We start from the raw sequence: 16,633 nt of genomic DNA, 5'->3' as shown, positions 1-16,633 counted from the left end.
TCATGTCAAATTTATCGACCAAAGTTTTAAAAAATGAAAAAAATACTAATGAAATAGATAAATCTGGAAATTTTGGCAAAGAACAAGAACAAAAGTCACAATTAATACTATCAGAATTGAATGAAAGAAAAGGTATACACACAGTCTTACAGATAATAAAAGCAACTAAGAAAATATTAAGTTAAAATCATGCTAGTAAAATTTAAGAAGAATATGAGGGGCCAAATTAAAGAGAAAATATAAGTTAATGACATGAAACACAAGAAGAAATCAAGAAAAAATGATTTTATGACTGACCAAATGAACTGACTTAGGAATACTGAAACAAAAAACAATAATCTTGTTAATCTAAAAATGTGTATCTTCATTAACTAAGCAGTTGATTTCCCATTTTTTCTTTCCACATGCTCTGGGAATAACAGTACATTCTCAACTAACCTGAGGAATATGCTTGCGGGCAGCAATCTAAAAAGCCAGTGTAGACCTGCTGCTATAATTCAGGTTTTTCTAATAGTCACTGTGTATTCTCAGATATCCTACTATCAAAGACAAATCCTAACCTTCTCTTGATACATTCTGTCCCATGCCACCCTTTATCAGCCTTATTGCCTCACTTTCTATAGCTGCCCTCCATTAGGAAAACAGAACCAAAAGCAACATATCAAATATGTTCCTATTGTAAAAAAAAAAAAAAAAATGTAGGCACTTAATCCTTGAAGCAAAACACAGAGGCAGTAGTATGTAGTGGGGGTCGCTCACTCAGCTCTGGAGAACTGTATGATGGGGTTGATTAGTACCTGTCAATTATAAAAAAGGGTTTTCAATTATGAGAGCTATTAAATACCTTGCTAGAAAGAAGGAGAGTGAAATAAAAACTGAATTATGTGGGCCATTCTGGACAAACTATTCTATAGAAATTTAGTGATCTCCTGAGTATATGGAATGAAAATTTCCATACTGGTACATCTGTGTAGTATTCTTTCTGAGAGATAAACTACTTTTGAGGCATGTTGTTGACTGTAGATAACTACCTCAAGCTTTATATATATGCTACCAAAATACATACATTTATCTTTTAAAAAATGTAAGTTTTGCTATTTTTGAATTTACCTAAGCTCTCTTTTTTGCAGCCACGTATAATTTCAGCCTGTGCGCCTCTTTAGATAATGAGTTCCATAACTCTCTTACCTGCTGGGTGAAATAACACACCCTTATATTTGTCTTAACATTACCTTAGGAGTATGTGAATTTTAGTCCTCAGAGTACATGCTTAAAGTTGAATTATGAATAAGCTAATGACTCCATTTTTATACTTGAAAATCATTCATCTTTTAGAATTTTAAATCCTCTTGAGGTTTTTCCCGAATTTAAAACAACATGTAAAATGGTCAGTTTTACAGACAAAGATATTGACTTCTGTTTTATAAATTGATCATCCTAGTAACCTAAGTGTATAAAGACATCACACATTTACATTTATAGTGAACTGCAAAGTACAAAGTTAATTTTGTAAAAAGTAAAGCATCAATTCTCAATTTGACCACTTTTGTCAACTAAGCCTAGATTCAAAGTTAGACTTTTTTGTATCCAAATGATGTTTTACTTCCTTACTGTATGATGTGCTTTTATTTACCTATTTTTTCTAATCTGAGTATATTATACAGAGGCAACTAAGAATACTAATTGTAATCAAAATTTAGTTAATTATTTCCCAAACATTATAAAAAGTGGTATACATTATACATAGTATGGATATAGAAATGAGGCAGTGAAGTCCAAAAATCAAAATGCCTTCTTGAAAAAAATAACAATAAAGAAAATAATGTTACAGTTATTGAAATGTAAACTTTGAAGTTTTCTTTTTCAGTCCAGTCCAACTGATCCCCTAGTATTTCATGCTGTCCTCATCCATGAACTGATATTTCTGATTTTTGCATGTTTTTGACTGTGTGGACTGGTATTAAATGTGTATTTTGGAACTAAACATTTTTTAAAATTTAAACTGAATATTACATATTATTATTAAAATGAGAAATATTTTATGACAATATAATATTTTAAAAACTATAATAAATTATTAGCATTAGGAGATCATTGGTGTATTTGTTTTCAGCAAATACATCAGTATCATTTTTATCTGCAGCTAAAAAGTAAAGGTCACATTTTTTTAATGGAATCTATAAACTTGGTGTTCCTTTAAATGTCAAATTGTTTCAATTATTGCTTTTCTCACCATCAAAGTTTTTGTAAGAATGTCATACAGGTGATGTTGTGTAGTATAAAAGATTAGCTGGTAAACAACTGACCTCATTTTATGGTCTATGGAGTACGATCAAGTTCTGCTTGGATGCAGAAGGGGCTTATTGTAACACCCCGGGAGTACTCTTAAGTATTATCAGCAGTCTCCTCCAGCCATTAGCGTATTATCTTGAGAACTGCATCATTATTTTAAATTAGGTTCACTTAATTAGCCAGCTGGTACTTTCCTTGTCAGACTGATAAACAAGCTGTGCTTCACTGTTCCTTCATGTCAAGACCAAACCGCAAGTTCTGTGTATCTTTGCTGCTATTATCAGTATTTCAAATTTAGAAGTTGATACAACTTGTCCATGACTAGGGTATCATGTGTTTTAACTTTGTTGTATATGCACCCCCTCAAGAAATATTGATGAATTTTTTAATACTGTGTATGTTGGGATTGTGAGGGAGTTTAGATAGCAACAAAAGAAATAAAAAATCTCATAATGTAAGTAAATTGAGTATCCTTCAACAATGTTTTAAAATGTTAAAGAAAAATTGCTTTTATCAATATGTGTATAAAGCTACAACAAATCACTTTTTTATTATTTCACTATATATTTTATGTTAACATACAAAGCAATAGGGTAAAAAGTTCATTCATCATGACAATATAACACTGAAAACAGTGCTTGTCTGAGAAACTAAGAAATGTAGATTCTAGAACTTCAATGTATAAATCACTACTATTAATTGAGTACAATTTTAAAATTATTATTCGAAACTTTTTTGAAAGTGTTTAATAATTCAATAAAACTGCAGAAGAGGGATTGTAAATTAATAATCTCAATATCACCAGGCTAAGCAAAGGCTACAGTGTGAACAACTTTTCTTTTAATGATTATTATGTAGGAGAGAAATTTCCAATATATAATTGGAAGCTATCACTTAAATAAAATCTTACAGAATAATTCAATAGATGCAAACTGATCCCCTTTGTTCTATTATGATGGGGGTTCAAATTGCCAGCTACAAGTAAGTCTCATTTCCATAGGCTTCTCAAGACAGTTTGAAAACAACTTTTCTAGCAAAATAAATTTGGGTAGTCAAGTGTAAATTATACTGCCGGTTGTGGTGGCACTTGTCTGTAGCTGCTTGGGAAACTGAGGTGGGAGGATTGCTTGTGACCAGAGTTGGAGGCCAGCCTGGGCAACTAGGAAGATCCCATCTTTATTTTTTTAATGTAAATTACAGTAAGCAATAAATGAGCATTATATAGGTTAATTTTGAAATAAAATATGAGCACATAACTAATGCTTTTTTGTAATTATATATTCCTGAATAATGCATTTACTTCATGTCATTTTTCCTAAATTAAGTGGTGACTGCATAAACAAAAAATGTGCACACCAATGGTCTCCAAAGTGGAGCACATGAAACCCAAAGAACTTACAGGTGACTAGTTACAGGAAGAGAATCCTATGACATCTGTTCACAATTTTTTAATCTTAAAAAAATCTTATTTTATTTAATAAAAAGCTACTATAAGGACCAATATTGAAGGCCTGAATTTATCTGTATATTGGATGGTCAGGTAACATATAGTGAACTCTAGTGTCTTGAGAAGAAAGTGGGAATTTTACAATATGAAGGCATCAACAATAGTACTCTTAGTCTTCTGTTTACTTTTATCCCTATAAAAGAGATGACAATAGTGCATACTTCAACAAAAAGATTGTTATGAAAATTAAATTTTTGAAATTTGTGTCTCGTACAAATAAGGTGTCTGTAAAATACCTCATTAAAAGAGCCAGGTTGTATAAGCCTGGTGCAGGAGTACAATTATTTTTGTTAAATAAAATAATAATCTCAATTTCAACATCAGAGGAGAAATTTTTTAAGAAAATAAATAATAACAATAATGATCATGATCTTAATAATAATAATTAGTTGCCATGCTACAAAATTTTGCAACTTACGTTTTACAATTAAGTAGACTAAGAAGTTTATTAATTATAAATTGAGAATACTATTTCACTAAGTATTATTCTAAGTGCATGGTTTATTTCATTGACCTAAACAAACACAAAAAGCTTAACTTCTGGGAGCATAGAATCTATTAGATGAGGCAGACAATAAGAAATAAATATACTAAAATACAAACTATGCCATATATAAGGAGGTAAGTGCTTTTGGAAAATGTAAAACTGCGGAGCAAGGACAGGAGGGCTTGGGAAAGCTGAGGAGAAGAGGTATGCACACAGGGAAGGAGGGTTTGATTATTAAATAGGGTGATCAAGCTGGCCGTGCTGAGAAAGTGAATTATGAGCAAAGATGTTGAGGAAGCAGGCATTGGGATTCTATGGAAGAACTTTTCAAGGAAAGACCCTCCAAAAGGCAGAAGCATGGCTGACATATTGGATGAACAGCAAAGGAGGCCAGGAGATTCTGTATCAGAGACATCAAGGAAAGTGTAGTCGGCGACAAGGCTAGAGAAGACTGGGGAGGTGTCAGTTCAGGTAAGGCCAGGTGGTCATTATAATGACTTTTGGCTTTCACTCTAAAAGAAATTAGAAGAGGCTGTAAATTTCAAGAGTATCCTAGCCGGTATTTTGTAAAACCCAACACACAATTTGTCTATTCCAAAAACTGACAGTTTGGAGCTGATTACTGTCATGACTTGCCTGATGCTTAAAGAATGAAAAAAAAAATCACTCAGACAAATTTATGAGAAAGACTGATGAGTATAAGGTAAGAAGTTAGACACCATGTGATAATGATAATGGTGACTGTGTTCATGGGGATAGTAGAGATATTGCAAAGGGATCATCATTTAGAAGGTAGATTCAATTGCATTTCCTGAGGATGTGAAGTATGGGAGGAAGACGGCAGTCAAGGATGACAGACTCTTTGTAATCCTTTGCATAACATGTGGAGAACCATTTCAACACTTGTGACAAAGAAGTTCAGAAGTTGTCTGTGGCAAAAACAAAATTTTGTAAGTGTCAAAAATATTGCCCTTCTGTTCTATAAAAACCAATTGTTCTAAATTTACTGATTCTTTAAAGTCCATTTCAAGAGCATACGAGCAGGTATTTTGTAAAATCCAGTGTGTTATTTATTCCCTTGCCAAAGTTGATGGTATTAATAGTAACATACTGGCTTTTCTGACTGAAAATTGGGTCATGGAAGTATTATCCTGAAGATAGTCATTTGGAAATATTTTTATCATTAATATATGATTCTGTTGATGAAAATCATATAAATGTTTCTTGTATAAAATGTGTTATTTTATACATGAAAACTTATAAATAAATTTTCTTGAAAATTACAATTTTTCCAAATAAAGTATGTTATATTACTTTTTTTATTTTGATCTGCATATCTTTTTCAGTTCTGGTGAACTTTTATAACCAGACAGCAAAATAACTGAATTTAGTGCAAAGCTTTTGAAAAGCTGAAACAAAATGTTCAAAACTTTTGGAAATCGTTGAGCAGACATTTTTCAAAGTCGGAAATTATTTTGAAAATTGGCTGATATTTTTTTCCTCCAAATAGGTATATCCTAATTTATTTGAAGGCAGTTCATCATGAACTGCTTTCTGACACTTCCTGTAAAATATTTCCATAAGTTAACTTTTAAAAATATTCTCTTTCCATTCATAAAAATATTCGTTCTTTAAGGCTCAATGAAAGCCTTACCTCTTTTCCTTATATTTTATCCTGCATTGTACTTCTTCCTCTGAGCTTTTGTAGTGCGTGGTCCTTATTTTTTTATTTTTTTTGTGACACACATCAAGTTATTTTAAGTGCTCTTTTCACCCTCTAGTCTGTAAATTCTTCAAGGACAGAAACGGGTTTATTTTCTCTTCTAGGTCTCATTTCTTTCACTTACTAAAGATATTGCACATCTAACCTTGAAACATTATGATGCTAACAGTCACTAAAACATCTAGCTCAATTACTGTTTCTAATGGTAGTAGTAGTAGTAGTATGAGTGGTATTTCCATGGTACTTAATATTCACCAGGCACACGCTAAGTACTTTACTATCTCACCTAATACTCACAATAACCCTTTGAAGTAGGTATTATTACAGTCTCCATTTTATTGTAGAAAAAAACTGAGCCACAGAAAAATTTAGTAACTTCCCAAGGTACTATTATTATTGTTGTTGTCATTATTATTTTAATGTAAGTGAAAGAGTTAAAGTTTGAAATTGGCTTCAGAATAAATGCTCATAAACATGATCTATACTGACTTTCAGTGATTCTCCATTAGGATTTTATTGCTTGCAGAGATGACGGCATGTATTTGAGCCCGTTGGTTTTCTTGTTAACCTCCAATAGAGGAAAAAGACCCAAAGCAATGTTTTTTATACATGAGGCATAAATAAGAGAGCAACATATCCACACATTCCCAGGAATAAACAATCAACTAAGAGGGAGTGTCTTTCATATGCAGAGAGGTTCCCACATTGGAAAGGAACACAGACTATCAGATCCCAGATGTCCTTGTTATTGGCTGGAGGACCTCCAACAAGACTGATTCTCAGTTTCCTTATCCCATTAAATGTAGGTGTTAGCCTAACCTATGCTTTGTAGTATGTCTCTATAAGATAATACTTATGAAAGGCCTGGTGAAAAGAAAAGCAATTTGTGAGAGCTGGCAAACTGGAAATTTTCATTCAAATTGTTCCCAGATCCTTACCATTACTTACAGACCTTTGATATAGTCTTACAATTAAATAACAATGAGATTTTTTTTTTTACTGTTTCTTTTTTCATTTGTGTTGAGCTATCTTATCTTTAACATTTTAAAGATCTAAAGATTATTCCATTTAAAGCTGCATGCAAAATAGGCTATTACATTCACACATAGATTAAGTTTAACATAGAAAGGGAAAATATGAAAAATCAAAGGAATCTTATGGCTTTGTCATTAGTGTATTGATTAATGATGACTTTTTAGGGCTATATATGCACTGAAATTATTGATTAGTACATGAAAAAATTTAAATGAAACATCTGGCATTCTAACACAATTAACAGAATCCAGATTAACTATTCCTTAAGCAATAAAGCTATTTAATTACCTAAATAACATCAAGTCTGGGAATAGCTGTTCTATGTTTGTGTAGCAACTCAAGGTTATAAAGAATTCAGTTTCCTTTTATTTTTCTCCTCTGCACCCTCAAAGTATTGGGTTTTCCTCTTTTTTTTTTTTTTTTTTTTTTTTTTTTTTGAGACGGAGTCTTGCTCTGTCACCCAGGCTGGAGTGCAATGGCGTGATCTCTGCTCACTGCAAGACCGCCTCCCAGGTTCATGCCATTCTCCTGCCTCAGCCTCCCGAGCAGCTGGGACTACAGGCGCCCGCCACAGCTCCTGGCTAATTTTTTTGTTTGTTTGTTTTTTTTGTATTTTTAGTAGAGACGGGGTTTCGCCGTGGTATCTATCTCCTGACCTCCTGATCCGCCTGCCTCAGCCTCCTGAAGTGCTGGGACTACAGGCGTGAGCCACCGCACCCGGCCTTTTCCTCTTAACCTAATAGCTTCATGGCCTCAAAATGACTTTGGAAACTAGAGGCTTAATATCCTCATAGGACAGCACTGGAAACTGGAAATAAGAGAACATGTGGTGGAAGGAAGCCTTCTGTTATCTCTGTTGATGGAATGGAGTATTATTCTCAGAAATCATGCATCATACTAATCTTTACAATACAGAAACTACAATACATACAGAGTATGCAATACATACAGAGTATGCAATGTGACCACTCTTAAGCCTCTGAAGAGGCTGGGAAACTCAATATCAGTCAAAAGGAAATAGAATCAGTCATTTCCTTGGATCTGTGGTGCTTGCCAAGTGAGCTACCTTCCCTGAGGATATTGCTGCACATCTGATCCCAAAACAGTATAGTGACTCTCTTAGCGAGGAAAAAAGGGGTAAAGACACTAATATAAAAAATGGTTAAGTGAGTTTCTTTCGAAATCCAATAATTATTCCAGTAATCCAAGAATACTGAGAATGTTAAATAGGCAAAATGAAGGGCATTATTTTCGAAAAGAGATGCCTTAGTGAGACTTGTTAACATTTAATTTAAAACATGCATTTCCATATTTCCAACCACAACAATAGTTTACCTGTTACTAATGTGCTGAGAAGAACATTGCATTATGGATAAGTACTTAGAAAATTCTCTAAGGATGATGGTTTCTAGCTTCATCCCTCACTCATAGGTGGGAATTGAACAATGAGAACACTTGGACACGGGGTGGGGAACATCACACACCCGGGCCTGTTGTGAGGTGGGGGGAGGGGGGAGGGATAGCATTAGGAGATACACCTAATGTAAATGACAAGTTAACGGGTGCAGCACACCAACATGGCACATGTATACATATGTGACAAACCTGCACGTTGTGCGTATGTACCCTAGAGCTTAAAGTATAATAATAATAATAAAAAAGAAAAGAAAAAAGAAAAAAAAGAAAATTCTCTAAGGATATTTAATAGAGCTTTGGGAAGAAATGCTTTCACTGTTGGATAAAGTTTACTTTACTGGATACAATTTGTTTTATGCTACATAGTTAGAAAATATATAAGTACCTACTCCTGGAAATTAATTTTAAGTGGTGTTAGCTTGTAATATGAATAGCATAAAATTAAGGTGAGTGAAATAACTTCCTGGCATCACTTTGTTTTCTGAGAATTTTGTTTTAAGTAAATGCTAAATATTATAAATATTATACATATTATTATAAATATTAGCAAAAAAAACACATTTTCATACCAAGCATGGTGCATAAAAAAAGAATTCTTTTTTCTTCTGTGGTTTTGAATTTCTCATTAAGGAAACTTAACTAGCTGATCATTCGTTAGAATTACAGCCATATATCAGATTGTTGGCATTTTAACATTACAGATAGTGAAATCTTGTAATCAGAATTGGGATAAAATAAATCTAATAGTGTAAACATAGTTCTCACCTGTATTCAACACTTAATTAAAATGAATATATTAATCTTTTATATCTTGAGTTTCTAAATAGCTTCTCCCCACCTCACAATGTGCATAGGTAATGAATGAACTGAAAGCTGTGTACAGTTGTGCAAATGATAAACAAAATATTTATCATGTATATGATAATTGTGATCATAATTGTATATGATAAAAAATTTAGAAAGATAATACTTTATTCATGTATATGAATATACATGAGTAAAGTATGATATTTTCAAATATCAAATAAGGGCTAAGGAAATTATATATTTGGCAAATTAAATTTTTAATCTGACATCTAAATTAGAATCTTCATAATTTCTGGCCTAGCTTTAAACTAATAGTTTAGTCTAAAACATTTTTTTCAATTCTTCTTTATTGTAGGCAGTGAGCACAGACCCTGTCCCAGTTAAATTACACTATGACAAATCACATGATCAGGTCTGGGTGCTAAGCTGGGGTACCTTGGAGAAGACATCACCAACACTACAGGTAAGTACATTTCAGTATATTAGAGAAAATAACAATCTTTAAAGCTTTCAACATTTTATTGGATATTTGTGATCATTTAACCATGATATTTTTCCATCTGAGGACTACAGCTTTAATCATAACTAGATAGGCACAGAAAAAGGCAAAAAAGTTGGCATTCATGTACTTTTGGACTGGGAAAAATCATAGATAATGTGTATTAAAGGTTATATTTATATGCGAAAAGAATAACCTATAGTGACAAAGCTGATGCCATTAGGAGGAAAAGAAAGTCATAATTTACTTTTTAACAATTTTGGTAAGGCAAGTACAATAGAGACAAAGAGAATTCGACAGCAAAAGCTTCAAGGCCTTCTCCATTTTTCTCTAATCAGATAATATTCTGTTATCTGAGGAGAGGCTTATTTCTAAAGGAAGAATAGTGGTGTTATTCTTATGGATTTTGCCTCTGCCTTGAAGTTGTTTATGTGAGAACTTCACAGATACAGAAAAAGAAAATCTGCATTTTGGTCATGACCCTTTGGAGCAGTCCTTAGCCTTACAAGTTTAAGCAGAAACAGAAAGAAAATGGGAAGGAGTTTTTGGCCCTGGAAATGTGCTTTATATTACAGTATTTTTCAAAATGCTTTGCGATTTTGCTACTGCCTTGAATATCCCCCTCTTAACAAGACCCCAAATTATTAACTTTTGGACATTTTAAAATAAATTCTTTTAAATGAAATAATTTTATTTTAATCAGTTGTCACTACCAAGACTTTTAATGTTTCTGAGTTATTTTCAGTATTGCAATATTTAACTTACAAATGACAGTTTTATGTAAATAGAATATTTTAATATAGCTAGCATAATGATGGATCATTTTATATTCACTAGAAATATGTGTCATTTGAAACATTGAAAAAATATTATAGTATTTTGGTTATTTATTTTGCAAATCAATCCACTCTCAGAATGTGAGGTCTTAAAATTAAAGGATGACTCAGAATTCTGTGAGTTGGCTACCTGGGCAGCTCTGCTGATGTGATCTGGGAGCACTCATGGGCTCCAGTTACCTGATAACTTGGCTAGAGTTGGAAGGTTCAGAATGGCCTCACCCTCATGTCTGTCGCATGGTGATGGTGCTCAGCTGGGTGCCTTGTGTCCCCTGCATGTGACGCTCACACTGCATCTTCACAGCATAATGGTCTTATGTTACAAAAGTGGAAGCTACAAGACCAGCTGAGGTATGGGCTTCAAAATGCATATAAAGCCAATTTTGCTACATCATATTCATCGAAGCAAGTCACATTGCCTGCCCAGATTCAAGAGGATGGAGTGATAGAGCCAATCTCTTGATTGAAAAAGCACAATCTTCACAGTGGGCAACTTTTAGAATCATCTATCACAATATGGTAATAGGTGCTTGTTAATTGAGATTTTGTATTTAAGTATACTCTTTGCAAGATAAATAAAACAGGTCAATATATATATGATTTTTTAGAAAATATTCTTATAAATTATTTTAATACTCTATTAACTTTAAGATTAGTATAACATAAAAGTTTAATTTTTTCATGTCTTTTTTTTTAAAAAACTAAAGCTGCATATATTTTTATTATACAATTTTCTTCAGAATTGATCCCTTCCTCTCCCCTTTGATTCATGCTACTTGGATAGATTAACAACTTTCCCAGCGTTGCAATTCCACCACAAAATAGTTTAGACAAATTCCTTTGACATTGTACACAGAAAACAGCCTTCTGGAGGTATTCTTCCCACACATTATTCAACCATCTAAAAATGGGTTCTTTATTTTTCTCTGGATGCCTAATAAAACATATTTTGTGCTGATAGAATATGGTAAATTATAAAAATATTTGCCAGGTGGGAGTGGAAGGTAAATGTCACAAGTGAAAATATAAAATAAAGTGTAGGAATTGAGAAGTATCCTTTAAAAAGGTATACACAAGAAGATTTATTTACATAAGGTTTATATGTGTGTATGTTATATGAATATAGATATAAGCTTGATTAGATAGGTAGATTGATTGATTCATTGATTGGCAAACAATATGATAGGAAACACAAGATCTCTGGATCAGAGAATAGGCCATTTCTCACTCATGGATCATGTTAGTGTTTATGCCTCAGCCATAATCAACTTTGGGTCACGTGGAGAGCCTAATGCTACCCTGAATGTTCAGCACAGTTGCACGAAAGAAGTGGGACCCTAGAATTATAAGTCTCTACGTTTTTTTAGGCTGCTAGCATATCAGCCTATCCTCTGTCTGGAGAGATAATCATCATTACTCTAGAATGTATGAAAATCTTCCCCTGGAAGAAGAAGAGTAGGTCAATTCCCTTGAATGTCAGTAAATGGTTCAAAGGAGATAATTCTCTAAATCTCTCATGAGCAAGCCACTATCACTAGTCTCCAAGGCATTTTTGCTATGCCATTAGACTTAAACCAAGTTTGCCAATGCTCTTTGCTATGAAAGACCTGACTCTGCAGAAATGTCAAAATGTTCATGGATAATTGTCTCCCAAAAGATTATCAGGAAACATTCACAAAGGAAGTGGAAGTTAAGATATGCTTCCTTTGGAGAAACTGAATTCACAAAACCAAAAATATGGGCAAGCCCTCATTGTGGCTATAGTGTTTCCCATGCCATCATGTTAAAAGATTAAGCTGGAAGAGAAATCGATGCTGAAGCATGTTCTCAAGGATCAGAAAATTCTACTTATCTTTTTCTTTGTGTTTTAATTTTTATTATAATTTTATCCATACGTCTTCGTCAAATACGAAAGCAAAATATGTATTTTCTGAGATATTTATAATTAATAGAGACTAGGTGTCATAATTTTAGATATATGACAATATTTTCCAATTAGTGTCCTCAGGTGGATTCTCAAGGATTTATCATAATTTATTTATTTTACTTTTAAAAGTCATATGTGTCTTACAAAAATTTCAAAATACTGCCTTAAAAATTATAATGAATCTGTAATCCACAAATTTCACAATTGGAATATAATTAATGTCTTATCAAATGCACAATAATTAGAGAATAAAATATTCCCAGGAAATAACTTGAAATAGAAGCCTTCCATTTTGCTATTGTTCAGGAAGTGGGCCCCAGCCAGGAGGGATTCCGATGGAACTCAATGAAAGTATATTCATTTAGATGAAGAAAAATTACCCTTTAGGAAAAACAAACTAACTCTAAAACTAAAAATTATAAAATAAAATCTTGTCATAAAAACCAAAGGAGAAGTTTTAGTCTTGAGGGAGAATTACTTTAACTTAGTCAGTAGTTTAGGAAGTTACTTTGATGGCCATATGTAGAAAGTATTTAAAAGTGGATAAAGTAAAGGCAGGAAAAAGGCCCTTTAGAAGGCTACCAGAACAATGGTTGTGCAGTAGGAACAATGAAAGTTTACAGGGGTGTAAACAGATCTGAAGAAAGAACTAACAGGATTTGGTAACTAATGGAATTAGGGAAATAAACTAGTTTAAATGTAGTTGACCTTTTCTTTAAAGGACTATAAAAGTTTAAAAAACAATTCATTATTAAAGATGAAATCTCTTTTATTAAAACACGTAAACCGGTTATTTTTCAATGATAGGAGGAAAACGTTTTAAAATATGGTTTTATGTATTCCAAGATTTTAAAAATTTAAAATGTTTCATATGATTTATTTGGAGTTTTTAAAACTATGTTGCCAGTTATGTTATACTGGAGGGATTTTGTCCTAATATCACACATTACTTGTATGTTTGCATTTATTTTTCTCTTTGTAAGAAGATTAGGATTTTTGTAATGAAGAAGTTGCTTACATGCCTATTTATTTTATATTTTAAGCTGAAATTGTTCAAGGCAAATATTTTTCTATTTTTTTCTTTATAGAAACAAGTTTCTATATTGAAAATAAGCAAAACAGTCACAGAATTGTAATTTGTGTAATAATATATTGATTTTGAGGATGGCATAAAGTCTATGCAAACAACTGCCAGAAACATTTATTTCATCTCTAAATAAAATTAAAGCTTATACTATGAAGTGACTGCATTGTTGAGGTCTAACCAAGGTGTGTTCTCTTTAGGTAATTACCCTGGCCAGTGGGAATGTGCCTCACCACACGATCCACACCCAACCAGTGGGAAAGCAATTTGACAGAGTGGATGATTTTTTCATTCCCACCACAACACTCATTATCACCCATATGAGGTAAGTGCTAAGTTGAGTGATCAACTTTTTAAAGATTTGTCTCTATTATAATAGAAAGCCATGTGAAATCGTAAAGAAACTTAGATATGAAACAAATACACATGTACAATTGAACTTGCTTTAGCTTTGTCATATCTGCTTACTGAACCTTTGTTTATCAACACTAGTGATGAATTTCCCATAAAATGTTTCTCTTTATGCCTAACAGAGGTGTGAATTTGTGAAAATACAGTTTTATTTTTAAAAATCACTTTAACGATGTTTTTGCAAATTGTCATTAAGATTTTTCTTACTGGGCTCTTACAAAATGCTGGCATTTCCCCCAAAGATAACTAATTTAAAAGATAAAATCACTTCTCAAATGGAGAGAATGTTAACTGAAACTTGGTATGGAGAAGCAGCCACAGTCATAGAAATATATTCAATGTAAATATTTTGTTCACTCTCATCATTTTTTGATCATATTGTAATTAATATAAAATTGTATTAGGAAATACAAGAAGTTGAAATGAAATGTTTCAGGTCTGCACTTTGAGAAAAGATGTTAGTGTGTTTTATCTCTTGATGTATTTACAAGAGGCGGAAAAGTAATATTAACTTCTAGTTATAAAACTGCAAAGCTTTATAGAAGAGGTTTAAATGCTAAAATGAGGAGAAGGTTGGGATATCATGATATTTAGTATTATGTATCTTTAAAATCTGTTGAAACAATTTAAAAATATTTGCTTAGCAATGTTAAAAATGAATCTGAAACAAAGATTTTGTCCTTTTACTCAAGTGAATTCTGATGTGTGGAAACTGCTCCAGCTATGTTATATGAGCCATTATTGGATTATTGTGCGTATTTGTTTCCTTATTTAAATTAAAAATTATATCATCTAAAAATTGCAGTTGTGAGAATTATGAAAGACTGCATAATTCAACTTTGCAAAAATAAAAACGGGGATTAATAAATCAGAATTATAACTCATAGTCAAAGATAGAATAAATTATTCCTTGCAAAGCCAAGCATATTTTCAAAGTTTGATATATTTGTCAATCAATTAGCCATTATTTTCAGAATGCCTATTATGTGCTCAGCAAAAAAGTGATTAAATAACATAATGTGCAGGCTGGGCATGGTAGCTCTCCCATGTAATCCCAGCATTGTGGGAGGCTAAGGCAGAGGTGTAGCTTGAGTACAGGAGTTCGAAACCAGCCTGGGCAACATGGCAAAACCCTGTCTCTATTAAAATTACAAAAATTAGCCGACATGGTGGTGCATGTCTGTAGTCCCAGCTGCTCGTGAGGATGAGGCGGGAGGATTGCTTGATCCTGAGAGGTGGAGGTTGCAGTGAGCTGAGGTCACACCTTGTGCTCCAGCCTCGGCAACAGAGCCAGACCCTGTCAAAAAATAATAATAGTAATTATTATTATTACACATTTTGTGGAAAACAAATTATTGAAACTACAGAATATCTGATGAAATTAACAGTTTTTTAGGTTCTGATTGTAATAGCTCAGGGACTTAAAAATCAGAGTTGAACTGAAATGGTACCACTTAAGATGCTGTCTGAAAAATATATGAAGTTCTTATACATATTTAATGAGGATAAAATTTAATGTAATTGGCAATTGGTGTTATGACTAATAAATATTCTTTTGTTATTTTCAAGTTATTGACAAAGTATTAATAACCAATAATTAGATATGTAACCTTTGTTTTTATCTCACTTGCCTATTCCCTATTACTGTATTTAATATGCTATTATCAACCTTGCTTATTTTTTAAAAATGTACTATTAATACAATTTCTTTGAGAAAAATTTTAGTGTGTATGACACTACTAGGTATAATTGTGTATAGTTGGGAGTGGTTTCACCCTATAATATGTAAAGTTATCATTATGTTAAAATACCTACCGGGGTCAAGAGTATAGACTTTGGTGGCATGCAGTAAGTGCTATTTGTAATTCTGTGTTTGTAGATATAATTTATATGTTGTCAGACCACAGCATCTCTTTGGGTTCTAAATGATTACCTCAGAGCTGGAGTTGGAGCTAATACTAATTTGAAAAACATCTAACTATTGTGAACAACTATAAGGCACACATTTATTTTAGTTCTATATATTATGAAAAAGAGTAAAAAGTATAACTGAGGATATTTTTAAGCATCATTTTATTCCTTTGAGGAATGTGCAGTGAAATGCATGGGTATTTTGTCACTACTTTATTTATACGTATTTAATTTAGTAAGAGTAATTTAGTAAGAATAAAAATTAAATTATAGCAATTCTACCTGCATGTAGAATCCCATTTTAATGAACATGAATGATCATCAAATTTCTTGGTGCAGTTCAAAGTAATTACTCATTTTACTACCGTGAATGCGAGAAGTAAAAATTAACATGCGTTTCCAAAAATAAACTGTTAACTATGTAAGGTAGTTTTAACATAATGAGGATTTATTCCACATCAGGAACACCTGAGCAATGAATATGGTCTTTTCTCCTATCAATTTCATATAGTATATTTCTTTTTTTTTTTTGAGACAGAGTCTCCCTCTGTCACCCAGGCTGGAGTACATTGGCACGATCTCAGCTCACAGCAACCTCCACCTCCCGGATTCAAGCAATTCTCCTGTCTCAGCCTCCCTAGCAGCTGGGATTACAGGAGTCCTCCACCATATCCAGCTAATTTTTGTATTTTTAGTAG

The 16,633-nt window shown here is 32.6% G+C and overlaps 1 protein-coding gene across 4 annotated transcripts in view; it reads left to right on the top strand.

The window, feature by feature from the left end:
- The window catches only part of FSTL5 (follistatin like 5), a 780,104-nt gene that overhangs the window by 695,059 nt on the left and 68,412 nt on the right, over positions 1–16,633 (top strand). For all 4 annotated transcript variants that reach the window (NM_001128428.3, NM_001128427.3, XM_011532126.1 and 1 more), the window contains 2 exons: positions 9,623–9,730; positions 13,814–13,938. In NM_001128428.3, the coding sequence (NP_001121900.1) occupies positions 9,623–9,730; positions 13,814–13,938 (233 nt within the window). The remainder of the gene's footprint in view (positions 1–9,622; positions 9,731–13,813; positions 13,939–16,633) is intronic.

This window comes from Homo sapiens, chromosome 4, assembly GCF_000001405.40.
Source record: "Homo sapiens chromosome 4, GRCh38.p14 Primary Assembly".
Classification (NCBI taxonomy): domain Eukaryota; kingdom Metazoa; phylum Chordata; class Mammalia; order Primates; family Hominidae; genus Homo; species Homo sapiens.
This window is presented reverse-complemented; position numbering and strand designations above follow the sequence as displayed.